Source organism: Homo sapiens, chromosome 8 (assembly GCF_000001405.40).
Source record: "Homo sapiens chromosome 8, GRCh38.p14 Primary Assembly".
Lineage (NCBI taxonomy): Eukaryota > Metazoa > Chordata > Mammalia > Primates > Hominidae > Homo > Homo sapiens.
The window spans coordinates 100,202,904-100,217,021 of NC_000008.11; the positions used below are offsets into that span (position 1 = coordinate 100,202,904).

General features: G+C 44.4%; 1 protein-coding gene across 11 annotated transcripts in view, besides 2 other annotated features; it reads left to right on the top strand.

Moving 5' to 3' along the window:
• SPAG1 (sperm associated antigen 1) overlaps positions 1-14,118 on the top strand; it is an 83,867-nt gene that overhangs the window by 44,866 nt on the left and 24,883 nt on the right. For 9 of the 11 annotated variants that reach the window (XM_047422128.1, NM_001374321.1, NM_172218.3 and 6 more), the window contains exons 11-12: positions 10,187-10,525; positions 10,916-11,015. In XM_047422128.1, the coding sequence (XP_047278084.1) occupies positions 10,187-10,525; positions 10,916-11,015 (439 nt within the window). The remainder of the gene's footprint in view (positions 1-10,186; positions 10,526-10,915; positions 11,016-14,118) is intronic. The other 2 variants (XM_047422131.1, XM_011517245.3) reach the window with 1 other exon arrangement.
• Positions 9,983-10,172: a silencer, noted in NCBI's record as "silent region_19411". NCBI's record gives its function as "represses an Ori minimal core promoter by ATAC-STARR-seq in GM12878 lymphoblastoid cells {active_cell/tissue: GM12878}" and the evidence as "EXISTENCE:reporter gene assay evidence [ECO:0000049][PMID:35858748]".
• Positions 10,263-10,622: a silencer, noted in NCBI's record as "silent region_19412". NCBI's record gives its function as "represses an Ori minimal core promoter by ATAC-STARR-seq in GM12878 lymphoblastoid cells {active_cell/tissue: GM12878}" and the evidence as "EXISTENCE:reporter gene assay evidence [ECO:0000049][PMID:35858748]".

Consider the following 14,118-nt stretch of genomic DNA (forward strand, 5'->3'; position numbering starts at 1 on the left):
TAATACTAGCACTTTGGGAGGCTGAGGCCAGAAGTTCAAGGCTATATTGAGCCTACCACTGCACTCCAGCCTTGGCGTTTGTGCTGGTTAATACTGAGTGTTAACTTGATTGGATTGAAGGATACAAAGTATTGATCCTGGGTGTGTCTGTGAGGGTATTGCTGAAAGAGATTAACATTAAGTCTGGTGGGCACAATCTAATCAGCTGCCAGCAAATATAAGCAGGCAGAAAAACATGAAAGGAGAGACTGGCCTAGCCTCCCAGCAGCCTACATCTTTCTCCCGTGCTGGGTGCTTCCTGCCCTCGAACATTAGACTCCAATTTCTTCAGTTTCGAGACTTGGACTAGCTCTCCTTGCTCCTCAAGCTTGCAGACAGCCTATTGTGGGACCTTGTGATTGTGAAAGTTAATACTGAATAAGCTTATATATATATATATCTCCTATTAGTTCTGTCCCTCTAGAGAAACCTGACTAGTATAGATTTTAGTACCCGGAGTGGTTCCAGAGGAACAGACTATTAAGGATGCAGTTCTTTCGTTGGTTTTGGGGTTTCTGGAGTTGGCTACTTAATATGATTAGACCCAAAAATGCTAAGGACTCTACTTCTAATAGTATGGAGAATACTGATAGTCCTTGGTGTGAACTGTTTAGAGAGTTATGCAAAATAAATGCATTTGACACTTCTGATTCATCACTCATGAGAGGCAAGGAGTTTAGTAACTCTATACATAGTACCTTTGACCATATGTGGAGAACCAAGGAACATAATGAAGCTGGTTGGTTGCTCCTAAGTTCAGTGGACAAAGTAGTGAAAGAAAATGAACTCAGGGATTCTGTCTCTCAGCTTCAGAAGCAGATACTGAGCCTCAAATCTGCCAAGATTGCCCTGAGTGAGAGTCTTATCTCCTGTAGAGAAAGAGCTGAAATTGTGGAAAAACAGACACAAGCTCTCATCATGCGAGTGGCTGACCTGCAACAAAAGGTGCGTGCACAGCCTTGCCAGGTGTCTACCGTTAAAATAAGGGCATTGATTAGAAAAGAATGGGACCCTACAACTTGGAATGGGGATGTGTAGGAGGACCTTGATGAAACTGGGGACACTGAATTTGTAAACTCTGATGAACCTTTCTTTTGCCAGAAGGAACAGATTCCCCATACCCAGTAGTGGCAACATCCCCTCCCTGATCCATGCTGCCATCAGCCTTTCCACCTTTGTCTGAGGAGATAAATCCTGCACTGCCTGACGCAACAGTGATGGCCTCCCGAGACAGTTGCCAGGCAAGATAATGTTGATTCTCCTCAGAAGCCACCCCCAACAACCTTGTTTGCTTCTAGACCTATAACTAGACTAAAGTCCTGCCAGGGACCTCTGGCCAGCCCCTAGAGGTGAGGTTGAGAGTGTGACCCATAAGGAGGTGCGCTACACTCAAAAATAACTGTTTGAGTTCTCTAATTTATATAAACAGAAATCTGGAGAACAGGCATGGGAATGGATATTAAGGGTGTGGGATAATGGTGGAAAGAACATAGAGTTGGATCAGGCTGAATTTATTGATTTGGGCCCATGAAGTAGGGACTCTGCTTTTAATGTTGCAGCTTGGAGAGTTAAAAAAAAAAAAGGTTATAATAGATTATTTGCTTGGTTAGCTGAATTATGGATTAAAAGATGGCCCACTGTGAGCCAGCTGGAAATGCCTGATCTCCTTTGGGTTAATATAGAGGAAGGGATCCAAAGGCTTAGGGAGATTGGGATGGTGAACTGGATTAGTCACTTTAGACTGACTCATCCCAGCTGGGAGGGTCCAGAAGATATACCCTTGATGAATGCCTTGTAAAATAGATTTGTGAGGGGAGCACCTGCATCTTTGAAGAGCCGTGTAATTGCTCTTCTCTGTATGTCAGACCTAACAGTGGCAACTGCAGTCACTCACCTACAAAATTTAAATACAATGGGAATAATTGGATCCTGAGGTGGCAGGAGCCAAGTGGTGGCACTCAACCATCAAAAGCAAGGTGGACGTAGCTACCATAATGGACAGTAGAGGCAAAGCAGCAATCAGAATAGTCTGACTCATGTAGAGCTCTGGCATTGGCTAATTAATCACGATGTTCCTAGAAGTGAAATTGATAGGAAGCCTACTGCATTCCTACTTAATTTATACAAGCAGAAAACTTCTAGGTCAAATGGACAAAAGACTAATTTGAATTATAAAAACAGAGAATCATGGCTTTTCAATTAATTTCCAGACTTGAGCCAGTTTGCAGACCCAGAACCCCTTGAATGAAGTGGAGTCTGGGTCCCCTTGAGGAAGGACCCCACTACAGTACCAACAATTTATGCAGTGAATCTTTCTCCCATCCTTCCCCAAGGAGACCTCTGGCCTTTTACCAGGGTAACTTGCACTGGGGAAAGGGAAATGACATTTCAGGGACTACTGGACACTGCCTCTGAGCTGATACTGATTCCAGGAGACCCAAAACATCATTGCGGTCCTCCAGGTAAAGTATGGACTTAGGGAGTTCAGGTAATTAATGGAGTTTTAGCTCAGGACTTACAGCGGGTTCAGTGGGTCCCCGGACTCATCCTGTGGTCATTTCCCCAGTGCCAGAATGCATAATTGGCATAGACATACTTAGCAGCTGGCAGAACCCCCACATTAGCTCCCTGACTGGTAGGGTGAAGGCTGTTATGGTGGGAAAGGCCAAATGGAAGCCACTAGAGCTGCCTCTACCTAGAAAAATATTAAATCATAAATAATATCGCATCCCTGGAGGGACTGCAGAGATTAGTGCCACCATCAAGGACTTAAAAGATGTAGGGATAGGGCTGGCTGGGCATGGTGGTTCATGCCTGTAATCCCAGCACTTTGGGAGGCCGAGGCGGGCAGATCACGAGGTCAAGAGATCGAGACCATCCTGGGCAACATGGTGAAACCCCGTCTCTACTAAAAATACAAAAAAAAATTAGCTGGACATGGTGGTGCATGCCTGTAGTCCCAGCTACTCAGGAGGCTGAGGCAGGAGAACTGCTTGAACCTGGGAGGCAGAGGTTGCAGTGAGCCGAGATCATGCCACTGCACTCCAGCCTGGCGACAGAGTGAGACTCTGTCTCAAAAAAAAAAAAAAAAAAAAAAAAAAAAAAAAAAAAAAGAAAGATGCAGGGGTGGTGAGTCCCATCACATTCCCATTCAACTTCCCCATTTGGCCTGTGCAGAAGACCGATGGATCTTGGAGCATAACAGTGGATTATTGTAAGCTTAACCAAGTGGTGACTCCAATTGCAGCTGCTGTACCAGATATGGTTTCATTGCTTGAGCAAATTAACACATCTCCTGGTACCTGGTATGCAGCCACTGACTTGGCAAATGTCTTTTTCTCCATTCCTGTCCATAAGGCCCACCAGAAGCAATCTGCCGTCAGCTGGCAAGGTTACCAATATACCTTTACTGTCCTACCTCAGGGGTATATCAACTCTGCGGCTTTGTGTCATAGTCTTATTCGGAAAGACCTTGATTGCTTTTTGCTTTGGCAAGATATCACACTGGTACATTATATTGATGACGTTATGCTGACTGGACCTAGCGAGCAAGAAGTAGCAAACACACTGGACTTATTGGTGAGACATTTGCATGCAAGAGGATGGGAAATAAATCCAACTAAAATTCAGGGACCTTCTACCTCAGTAAAATTTCCTGGGTTCCGGTGGTATGGGGCCTGTCGAGATATTCCTTCTAAGGTGAAGCAAGATATTCCTTCTAAGGTGAAGGAAGATATTCCTTCTAAGGTGAAGGGGCCTTTGGCCCCTCCTACAACCAAGAAAGAGACACAATGCCTGGTGTCACAAGGCCTATTTGGATTTTCGAGGCAACACATTCTTCATTTGGGTGTGTTACTCCAGCCCATTTATCGAGTGACCTGAAAGGCGGCTGATTTTGAGCAGGGTCCAGAACAGGAGAAGGCTCTGCCACAGGTCCAAGCTGCTGTGCAAGCTGCTCTGCCACTTGGGCCATATGACCTAGCAGATCCAATGGTGCTTGAGGTGTCAGTGGCAGATAGGGATGCCGTTTGGAGCCTTTGGCAGGCCCCCATAGATGAATCACAGTGGAGGCCTCTAGGATTTTGGAGCAAGGCCCTGCCATCTTCTGCAGATAACTGCTTTCCTCTTGAGACAGCTCTTGGCCTGTTACTGGGCTTTGGTGGAAACTGAACATTTGACTATGGGTCATCAAGTCACCATGCAACCTGAACTGCCTATCATGAACTGAGTGCTTTCTGACCCATCTAGCCATAAGGTAGGTTGTGCACAGCAGCCTTCCATCATCAAATGGAAGTGGTCTATATGTGATCAGGCTCAAGCAGGTTCTGAAGGCACAAATAAGTTACATGAGGAGGTGGCTCAAATGCCCATGGTCTCCACTCCTGCCACCTTGCCTTCTCTCCCCCAGCCTGCACCGATGGCCTCCTGGGGAGTTTCCTGTGATCAGTTGACAGACTAAGAGAAGACTAGGGCCTGGTTCACTGATGGTTCTACACGATATGCAGGCATCACCCAAAAGTGGACAGCTACAGCACTACAGCCCCTTTCCAGGACATCCCTGAAGGACAGCAGTGAAGGGAAATCTTCCCAGTGGGCAGAACTTCAAGCAGTGCACCTGGTGGTACACTTTGCATAGAAGGAGAAATGGCCAGATGTGTGATTATACACTGATTCATGGGTTGTAGCCAATGGTTTGGCTGGATGGTCAGGGACTTGGAAGAAGCACCCAATGCTTCTGCCAGGACTACCATCCATGGACTCATGGAATGCCTTATCCGCCATCATGTTATTCCACACGGCATTGCCTTTGACCAAGGCACTCACTTTATGGCTAAAGAAGTGTGGCAGTGGGCTCATACTCATGGAATTCACTGGTCTTACCATATTCTCCATCATCCTGAAGCAGCTGAATTGATAGAATGGTAGAATGGCCTTTTGAAGTCACAATTACAAAATCAACTAGGTGACAATACTTTGCAGGGCTGGGGCAAAGTTCTCCAGAAGGCCGTGTATACTCTGAATCAGTGTCCAATATATGGTACTCTTCCCCCCATAGCCAGGATTCATGGGTCCAGGAATCAAGGGGTGGAAGTGGAAGTGGTACCACTCACCATCACCCCTAGCAATCCACTAGCAAAATTATTGCTTCCTGTTCTTGTGACATTACGTTCTGCTGGCCTAGAGGTCTTAGTTCCAGAGGGAGGAATGCTGCCACAAGGAGACACAACAATGATCCTGTTAAACTGGAAGTTAAGATTGCCACCTGGACACTTTGTGCTCCTCCTACCTTTAAGTCAACTGGCTAAGAATGGAGTCACAGTGTTGGCTGGGTGATTGACCCGGACTCTCAAGACAAAATCAGTCTACTCCACAATGGAGGTAAGTAAGAGTATGCATGGAATGCAGGAGATCCATGAGGGCGTGTCTTAGTATTACCATGCCCTCTGATTAAGGTCAATGGGAAATTACAATAGCCCAACCCAGCCAGGACTACAAATGGCCCAGACCCTTCAGGAATGAAAGTTTGGATCACTCCATCAGGAAAAAAAACCACGACCTGCCGAGGTGCTTGCTGAAGGCAAAGGGAATATAGAATGGGTAGTAGAAGAAGGTAGTCATCAATACCAGCTATGACCACGTGACCAGCTGCAGAAACGGGGACTGTAATTGTCATGAGTATTTTCTCCTTTTGTTAAAAACATGTTTGTGCATGTATACATTTGTACTAAGAAATGTCTTCATTTTATTTCCTTTTTCCTTTATCATGTGACATAAGATTTATTGACTTCATATCAGCATTTAAGTATTAACTTTATATTATAGTATTTGGGTTGGGGATTGGTGCATTTCTGGTTGTACAAAGGATAGTTGTATTATGTTAGGTGTAATTATGACCTTATTATTGTCTTTATTTGAAGATTATGTATAATCTCAGGAAATGTATATGGGTTCAAATTGACAAGGGGTGGTTGAAATGGTTAATACTGAGTGTCAACTTGATTGGATTGAAGGATACAAAGTATTGATCCTGGGTGTGTCTGTGAGGGTGTTGCCAAAGGAGATTAACATTTGAGTCAGTGGGCTGGGGAAGGCAGATCCACCCTTAATCTGGTGGGCACACTCTAATCAGCTGCCAGCGAATATAAAGCAGACAGAAAAACATGAAAAGGAGAGACTGGCCTAGCCTCCCAGCCTACATCTTTCTCCTGTGCTGGGTGATTCCTGCCCTTGAACATCACACTCCAAGTTCTTCATTGTTGAGACTTGGACTGGCTCTCCTTGCACCTCAAGCTTGTAGACAGCCTATTGTGGGACCTTGTGATCATGTAAGTTAATACTGAATAAACTCCCCTTTATATACATATATATATATATATTCCTACTATATATATAATCCTACTAATATATATATTATATATCCTATTAATTCTGTCCCTCTAGAGAGAACCCTGACTAATATATCATTAGAGTGAGACCCTGTCTCAAAAAAAAAAAAAGAAGAAGAAAAGAGAGTCCTTTGATTTTGCTCTATTTTTTCAGGATCTTTTTGGCTATTCTGAACTCCTTACAATATTGTATGAATTTAAGGATTGTCTTTTCCATTTCTGCAAAAAGTTTTGATAGGATTGTGTTGCATCTGTAGATTGCTTTGAGTAGTATTAACATTTTAACCTTAATAACAATAAGTCTTCCTATGATTACAGGATATATTTCCATTTATTCAAGTCTTTTAAAAAATTTCTTAAAGCAATACTTTTATCTCCTTGGTTAAATTTATTCCTAGGTATTTTATTCTTTTGGATGCTATTATAAATATAATTGTTTCCTTGATTTCCTTTTTGCTCTGTTCATTGCTAGTGTATAGAAACACTGATTTTGGCTTGTTGATCTTATACCCTACAACTTAGCTAAATTTGTTTATTGCTCTAGTTTTTTTTGGTGGGGGTGGTGAAGGGGGTGGATTCTTTTTTTTTAATATAAATAGGATCATATAATTATGAATAGAGATACTTTTACTTTCTTTCCAATTTGGATGCCTTTTATTTCATTTTAGTGCCTAATTGATCAGTCTACAACTTTTAGTACAGTGTTGAATAGCCGTGGTGAAAATGGGCATCCTTGTCTTGTTGCTGATGTTTAAGGGAAAGCTTTCATTACTTTTATCTTTGAATATGATGTTGGCTCTGGGTTTTTCATAAATATACTTTATTATGTTGAGGAATTTCACTTCTATTCCTAGTTTTCTGAGTTTTTTTTTTTTTTAAATCATGAAAGCATGTTGGATTTTGTCATGCCTTTTCAGCATCAATTGTGGGATCATGTATGCAATTCTTTACTTTTTCTGTTAATGAGGTGTGTTGGCATTGATTGATTTTCTAATGCTGAACTACCTTTGTATTCCTGGGATAAATCCCACTTGGCCATGGTGTATAATCCATTCAGTATGCTGTTGAATCTGTTCGCTAGTATTTTGCTGAGGATTTTTGGTCTATCAACTACTCACACTACCCTACTTGAGGCTACACTGTTGGCCATTCATTCCTTTGATAGTTGTTATTGTTGACTCCTTTCTTCCCAAACTACTCTTGGTGTTTCTGAGGCAGTATGCGCTCCTGTTTTTTTCTCTCATTTCTAGGCATTTCTGTGCCTACACTGTAGATTTTTCCTCTCTTCATCCTTTAAGTGTTAGTATATCTCAGGGATCCTTATGAGCCTTTGAGTGATCCCATCCACATCCAAACTTTTATTTTTATTTTTTGTAGAGATGGAGTCTTGCTATGTTGCCCAGGCTTGCTTCAAACTAGTGGCCTCAAGCAATCCTCCTGCCTCAGCCTGCCAGAGTGCTAGGATTATAGGGGTGAGCCACCTTGCCAGTTCCACACCCAAACTTTTTTTTTTTTTTGAGATGGAGTTTTGCCCTGTCGCCCAGGGTGGAGTGCAATGGTGTGATCTTGGCTCACTGCAACCTCCACCTCCCGGGGTCCAAATGATTCTCCTGCCTCAGCCTTTTGAGTAGCTGGGATTACAGGCACCTGATACCATGCCCAGCTAATTTTTGTATTTTTAGTAGAGACAGGGTTCACCATGTTGGCCAGGGTGGTCTCGAACTCCTGACCTTGTGATCTGCCTGCCTCAGCTTCCTAAAGTGCTGGGATTACAGGCATGAGCCACCGTGCCCGGCCCCAAACTTTTATATATTAGTAACTCCCAAGTCACTGTCTCTGGATAAGGCCACTTCTCTGATCTACATGTAGAGCCACCCTCTGAACAGCTCCATTGCATTGTCCCACGGGTATCCCAACACCCAACAGAACTCACAAGTCTTTCATGTTTGGGCCTCTGTTTACCTGTCCAGAGACTATCAAAGTTGTTCAGAGCCATTTCAATCTTAAGGTAAGAATGCTTTGCATTCAGTTCAAATCTGGGTTATGGCTGGGCACAGTGGCTCATGCCTGCAATCCCAGGACTTTGGAAGGCCAAGGAGAGAGGACTGCTTGAGACCAGGACTTTGAGACCATCCTGGACAACATAGCAAGGCCTCATCTGTATAAAAAATTTTAAACATTAGCCAGGCATGGTGGCTGGCTCTCACCTGTAGTCCCAGCTGCTCTGGAAGCTAAGGGGAGGATTGCCTGCCCCAGAGGTTGAGGCTGCAGTGAGCTATGATGGCACCATTGCACTCCACCCTGGGCAATAGAGCAAGACCCTGTGTCAAAATAAATACAAACAAATAATAAAAATAAAAACAAGTCCGAGTTATGCTGGCTTCTAGCTCTGTGTACTAGAGCGCATTCCTTAGCTTCTTGTTTCTCTGTTGCCTCATTTGTAAAGTGGGAATGATAATACTTGGTATTAGGATTAATGTGATCCATATCAAGTTCTAAATGAACTGCAGCTCTTTAGTGATAGCATTGGTCAGACCCGAGGGGATACTGTGCAAAGGGGTGGAAAGTAATACCAAGCTGACCATTGTTTCTGCCGACCCTGACTTTTGTGCTTTCACCCAGTTTCTGGTGGAGAACCTGATTGACAGAAACCAGATTAAAACTGGAGCCTTACTCTAATAACCCTACTGGGTTTAATCTGCAGATTTATCTTTATAGCAAAATCTTTTTATTGTTTTAATAATTAAGATCCCTTTGGCTGGTGATCCAAATTGGATGTTATTCTGCTGTATAGAAAACAGTATTTATTAATGTGTTTTTATACTTGATGCTTGTCTTAAGGTGATCATCCACTGATTTTCACTTAAATAATTGTGCTTTTCTATTCCCTCTGTCTCTGTGCTTAAAATCTTGGCTTTACCATTCATGAAAAAGAATGGAAAATATATCCATTAAGAATCAGATAAGAATTCGTTAAAAGAGAAAGCTTGGAAATCTCTATATTTAAGTACTTTTTAACGGTGCTGTGAAATGATTAATTGCTTTGTTTTAAATATTGCTAAGACACCATAAATTAAATATTTACACATCCTTTTTATATTTAAAAATAGATTCAACAATTATTAAAGCTATTAATACCTGAACTCCTAATCAAAATCAAAGAAATTTTTAGTTTGAATAAGGCAATGGGATGGAAAATTTGCTGTGTTTTTAAGGCTCCCTTTAAGTTTAAAAACTAGGTGCCTAATTTGTGACTTTTTTGCTAAATTCACTTTTAAAATGACTTAAAAATCACTTACGCTTTATTTTTCTTTCAAATCTTTTTCTCCTAATCTTTTAAAATAAGGAAAGGTGCCTCCGTGTTGGGTATTATAATTGTATTCAAGTTTTTGCAACTCCATTCAAAAAAGTACGTATTTTGTAAGCTCACCTGGACAGGTGGACTTGATGAAGGGGATGGCTCTGAGATGCCGGTTTTCAGCCACAGGCCCTTCAGCGCTTAAACAGTTAGAGACAGGGTACGTTTCTGGCCGAAACCCGGGAGCCGAGTCCTCAGGAAGCCGCAGGGGGCCTCGAGGGAGCGGACTGGGCCGACTGGCTCTAGAGGTCCGGCAGCACAGGCTCCGCCCGCAGGGGCGGTGCCCGAGCCGGCTTCCCTAGAGCCCGCCCTCCGCGTCCTGCACCCCCGCGGCCTCCGCGGCCTCCGCGGCAACTGCTCCCGGTGATGCAAACCCTCACTTCCCGCATCCACTTCCTCACAGAGCCCGCGGAGCCGGCGGGAGCCGCGCGCGCCGCCCAGCCGTGCGTCATGGGCAACATCCAGAAGAAGCTGACTGGCAAAGCCGAAGGCGGCAAGCGGCCGGCAAGGGGCGCGCCGCAGCGGGGCCAGACCCCGGAGGCCGGCGCGGACAAGCGGAGCCCACGGCGGGCCTCTGCGGCGGCGGCGGCGGGCGGCGGCGCCACCGGGCATCCGGGCGGCGGGCAGGGCGCGGAGAACCCTGCCGGCCTGAAGAGCCAGGGCAACGAGCTGTTCCGAAGCGGGCAGTTCGCCGAGGCGGCCGGCAAGTACTCGGCGGCAATCGCGCTCCTGGAGCCAGCAGGTAGGTGCGCCGCGCCCCGCCGCTTCCTGGGCCCCTCGCGCTGCGGTTCACCCGACCTCCGGGGCCCCCGTGGGAGAGGCGCTGCCGCCTCCTGAATGACAGGCGCCGGCATCGCTGCATTCCTCCCAGGTGACTAAGAGCGCCGTGCCACCTGACCTCAGTGAGCAGCACCTGGGAATGCCGGCATGTTCCCGGCCAGGCACGTTTGCCTCCGTCCCCGCCGGGTTTTCCCTTGGTGGCTGTTGCGGGTAGCAGCTCCGTGGAGTTCTGCATGATCAGTCTGCAGGACTGCAGTGCCACCCCACCGGAGACCTCGGCCGTCTTGTAATTCTGGTGAACTGTGATCTTGCTAATGGATTTTAACTGTATTTAATTAAATGTGATTTTTAGGAAGTGAAATTGCAGATGATCTAAGTATCTTATATTCAAATAGAGCAGCATGTTACCTAAAAGAAGGAAACTGCAGTGGCTGCATTCAAGATTGTAACAGGTAAACTGCACGTTTTCAGGTTTGTCAAGAGATTGTTATAATTTCATTATGGTGAATGCAATATCCAAGATCCTAAATTTTCTGCCTAAGGATCTAATTTCTTAAGAGCTTTATGGTATGTTAATTGATTGATGCATAAAAATCATAAATTATCTTACGTATATGAAGAGAGTTATAGAAGATTGTGCAAACTTTTTTCATTTCCACTGCTACCGCCCTAATTCGTGCTCTTTTCATATCACTCCTAGACTACTGGAGAAGCCTGATAACTAATTCCAATCCACTGCGGCATCAGAATAACTTTCCTGAAACATTATTTTGTTCAGATTGTTTCCAACAGGCCTTTAATGGCTCAGTATTGGCTTCGAAATAACTGTAAACTTCTCTGTCACTACACTGCCTCCAAGCAAGTTTCTCCTTCCGTTTGGTCTACTGGACCACTTGCTTACTCTCGCCCACCTTGTTCTCTGAGCCCTTGCCCATGTTGCCCCTAATGGTGGTAATGCCCTTTGCACATCTTATCTTCTGAAGTTCTTGCTCAGCTGCCCCTTCTCTCTACCTTCTTGAGTGCCCTAGACTTCCTGGTCATCTGCAGGCCTGTAACACCTACACTGACACTCGGTCACACCTCTAAGTCCTGTTATCCACTGAAGGGGGTTTAAACACATCGAGGTTAGGAACCATGTCTTTTCTTTTTTAATAGACAAATAATCACTGTACATATTTATGGGGTACCGAGTGATGCTTCGATATATATGATGTGGCCAGGCACAGTGGCTCATGGCCAGGCACAGTGGCTCACGCCTGTAATCCCAGCATTTTGGCAGGCCAAGGTGGGTGGATTGCTTGAGGTCAGTTTGAGACCGTCCTGGCCAACATGATGAAAGCTAGTCTCTACTAAAAATACAAAAATTAGCTGGGCCTGGTGGCATACCCTTGTAGTCTCAGCTACTCGGGAGGCTGAAGCAGGAAAATTGCTTGAACCTGGGAGGCAGATGTTGCAGTGAGCAGAGATGCCACCACTGCAGTCCAGCCTGGGCAACAGACAAGAGACTCTGTAAACTTTACTCATATATATATATATATATATATATATATATATATATATATATATATATATATATATATATATGAAACTATGTATCATTGTTAACTATAGTCATCCTACAGTGCTATAGAACACTAGAACATGTGCCTCCTATCTAGCTGTAATTTTATATCCTTTAACAAATCTCTGCCTGTCCCCCTCTTCCCCCTACCCTTTCCATCCTCTGGTGTCCTCTGAGGAACCCTGTCTTATACAGCTTCGTACCCCTCGAAGCATAATAGTCACCCGTGGTACTCAATAAGTTACCTGCCTGGATGGTAAATAGCTACATAAATAAAACATTGTTTTCCACCATGAAGTAATAAGAAGCCCTTTGGCAAGAAGCTACTATTAGTACATCTAAAAAAGAAGAAGTCATGTCCTAGTTTGACTAACACAGCTCTGGCTTACTCCTGTTGTCTCATATAACACTCTCAGAAACTCTAGTTTGAACAGTAAATTATGTGGACACTGTTTATAAGGTGAGTAATGTATTATTGTTTTCATTGGCTGTATCAGTTTATTTTGTTTTTTTGTTTTGTTTTGTTTTTGAGACAGAGTCTCGCTCTGTTGCCCAGGCGCCATCTCGGCTCACTGCAAGCTCCGCCTCCTGGGTTCACCCCATTCTCCTGCCTCAGCCTGGAGAGTAGCTGGGACTGCAGGCGCCCGCCACCATGCCCGGCTAATTTTTTGTATTTTTAGTAGAGACGGGGTTTCACAGTGTTAGCCAGAATGGCCTTGATCTCCTGACCTCGTGATCCACCCGCCTCGGCCTCCCAAAGTGCTGGGATTACAGGCGTGAGCCACCGCGCCCGGCCCAGTTTATTGATATGGGTAAAGCTTGCTAGTATCTGTGCCTAAGTTTAAAAAGAAGGCCTTGAGGCACTTGAATTTTTTTGCCAGTTTTACATATTTAAATTTGAAGTGAATAATACTTATATTCTCTTTGGCCTGACATCAGACCGCATCCTCAGTTGTGCTGGCTCACACTCGCTAATCATTACATTTTTCAGGATTTTGTGAGCTGGTTGATGTCAAGTTGATATTTTGAAATCTGCCATGGTGGGATACCATTTAATACCATGAAATGAGCAAATGCCACAAATCTGGGCTTCCCACCCCTCCTTTTTTCTTTACCCAGAGAGCCAGTTGTTAAGGGCTTTTACCAGTGCTCCTAACAGACCAGACCATGTGAATTTGTTGGATACCAAGCCCGTGGTGATTTGCAGCCAACATCCTTTCAGCTCAACTGTCTGTTTCTAATCCATTACCCTTCAGACTTGTTTTAGGCCTTTCCACAGTGAGGGAGGTCAGGACACTTTAGTTAAAACTTGAGACCCCTAACATTAGAGCTGCTGCAAAAGAGTGGATTTGTGTTGTCCTTATCTGAGATCCTCTAAGGTGATTAACATTTACTGGCTAAAATTGGCTGTGTTTCAGTGTAGACAGAGGAGAAAGTCAAGTATGGGACTCCAGCCATGGTGTCCAGGGTGGCTAGAGTAGGGGCTTGTCCAAGGGGAGGGCAGGAGATGGCTCACCAGAGAGGGAAGTGGGCGTCGGTTTAGGTAGGTTGTGCTAACCTTAAGAGCTGTTTTCTAGGCAAGGAACCTGGCCTTGCTGGTTGGTGCTGACCTCCGTAGAGACCGACCTACTCAGATGTTTTCTTTGATAGCTGGCCTACCAGTCCCAGTGTAAGAGAAATGGAGATGAGGCCCAGCAGGGGGTGATTTTACACTAAAGCAGTGATTCTCAATCTTGTTTTAATGCCAGAGAAGCCACTCTGTGCTTTTGTGAACATCTTTTCAGCTCAAGTGACTATATTCAAACAGATTGCATACATGTTAAAGGGAGTTTTTGTGTTTTCATTTTGTTTTGTTTTAGTTTTTCAGTTAATTATCTTTGCTCTTTGGAGAGTTCCATGAGTTCTTTTTTTTTTTTTTTTTTTTTTTGAGACTGAGTCTTGCTCTGTCCCCGAGGCTGGAGTGCAGTGGCGCAATCTCAGCTCATTGCAACCTC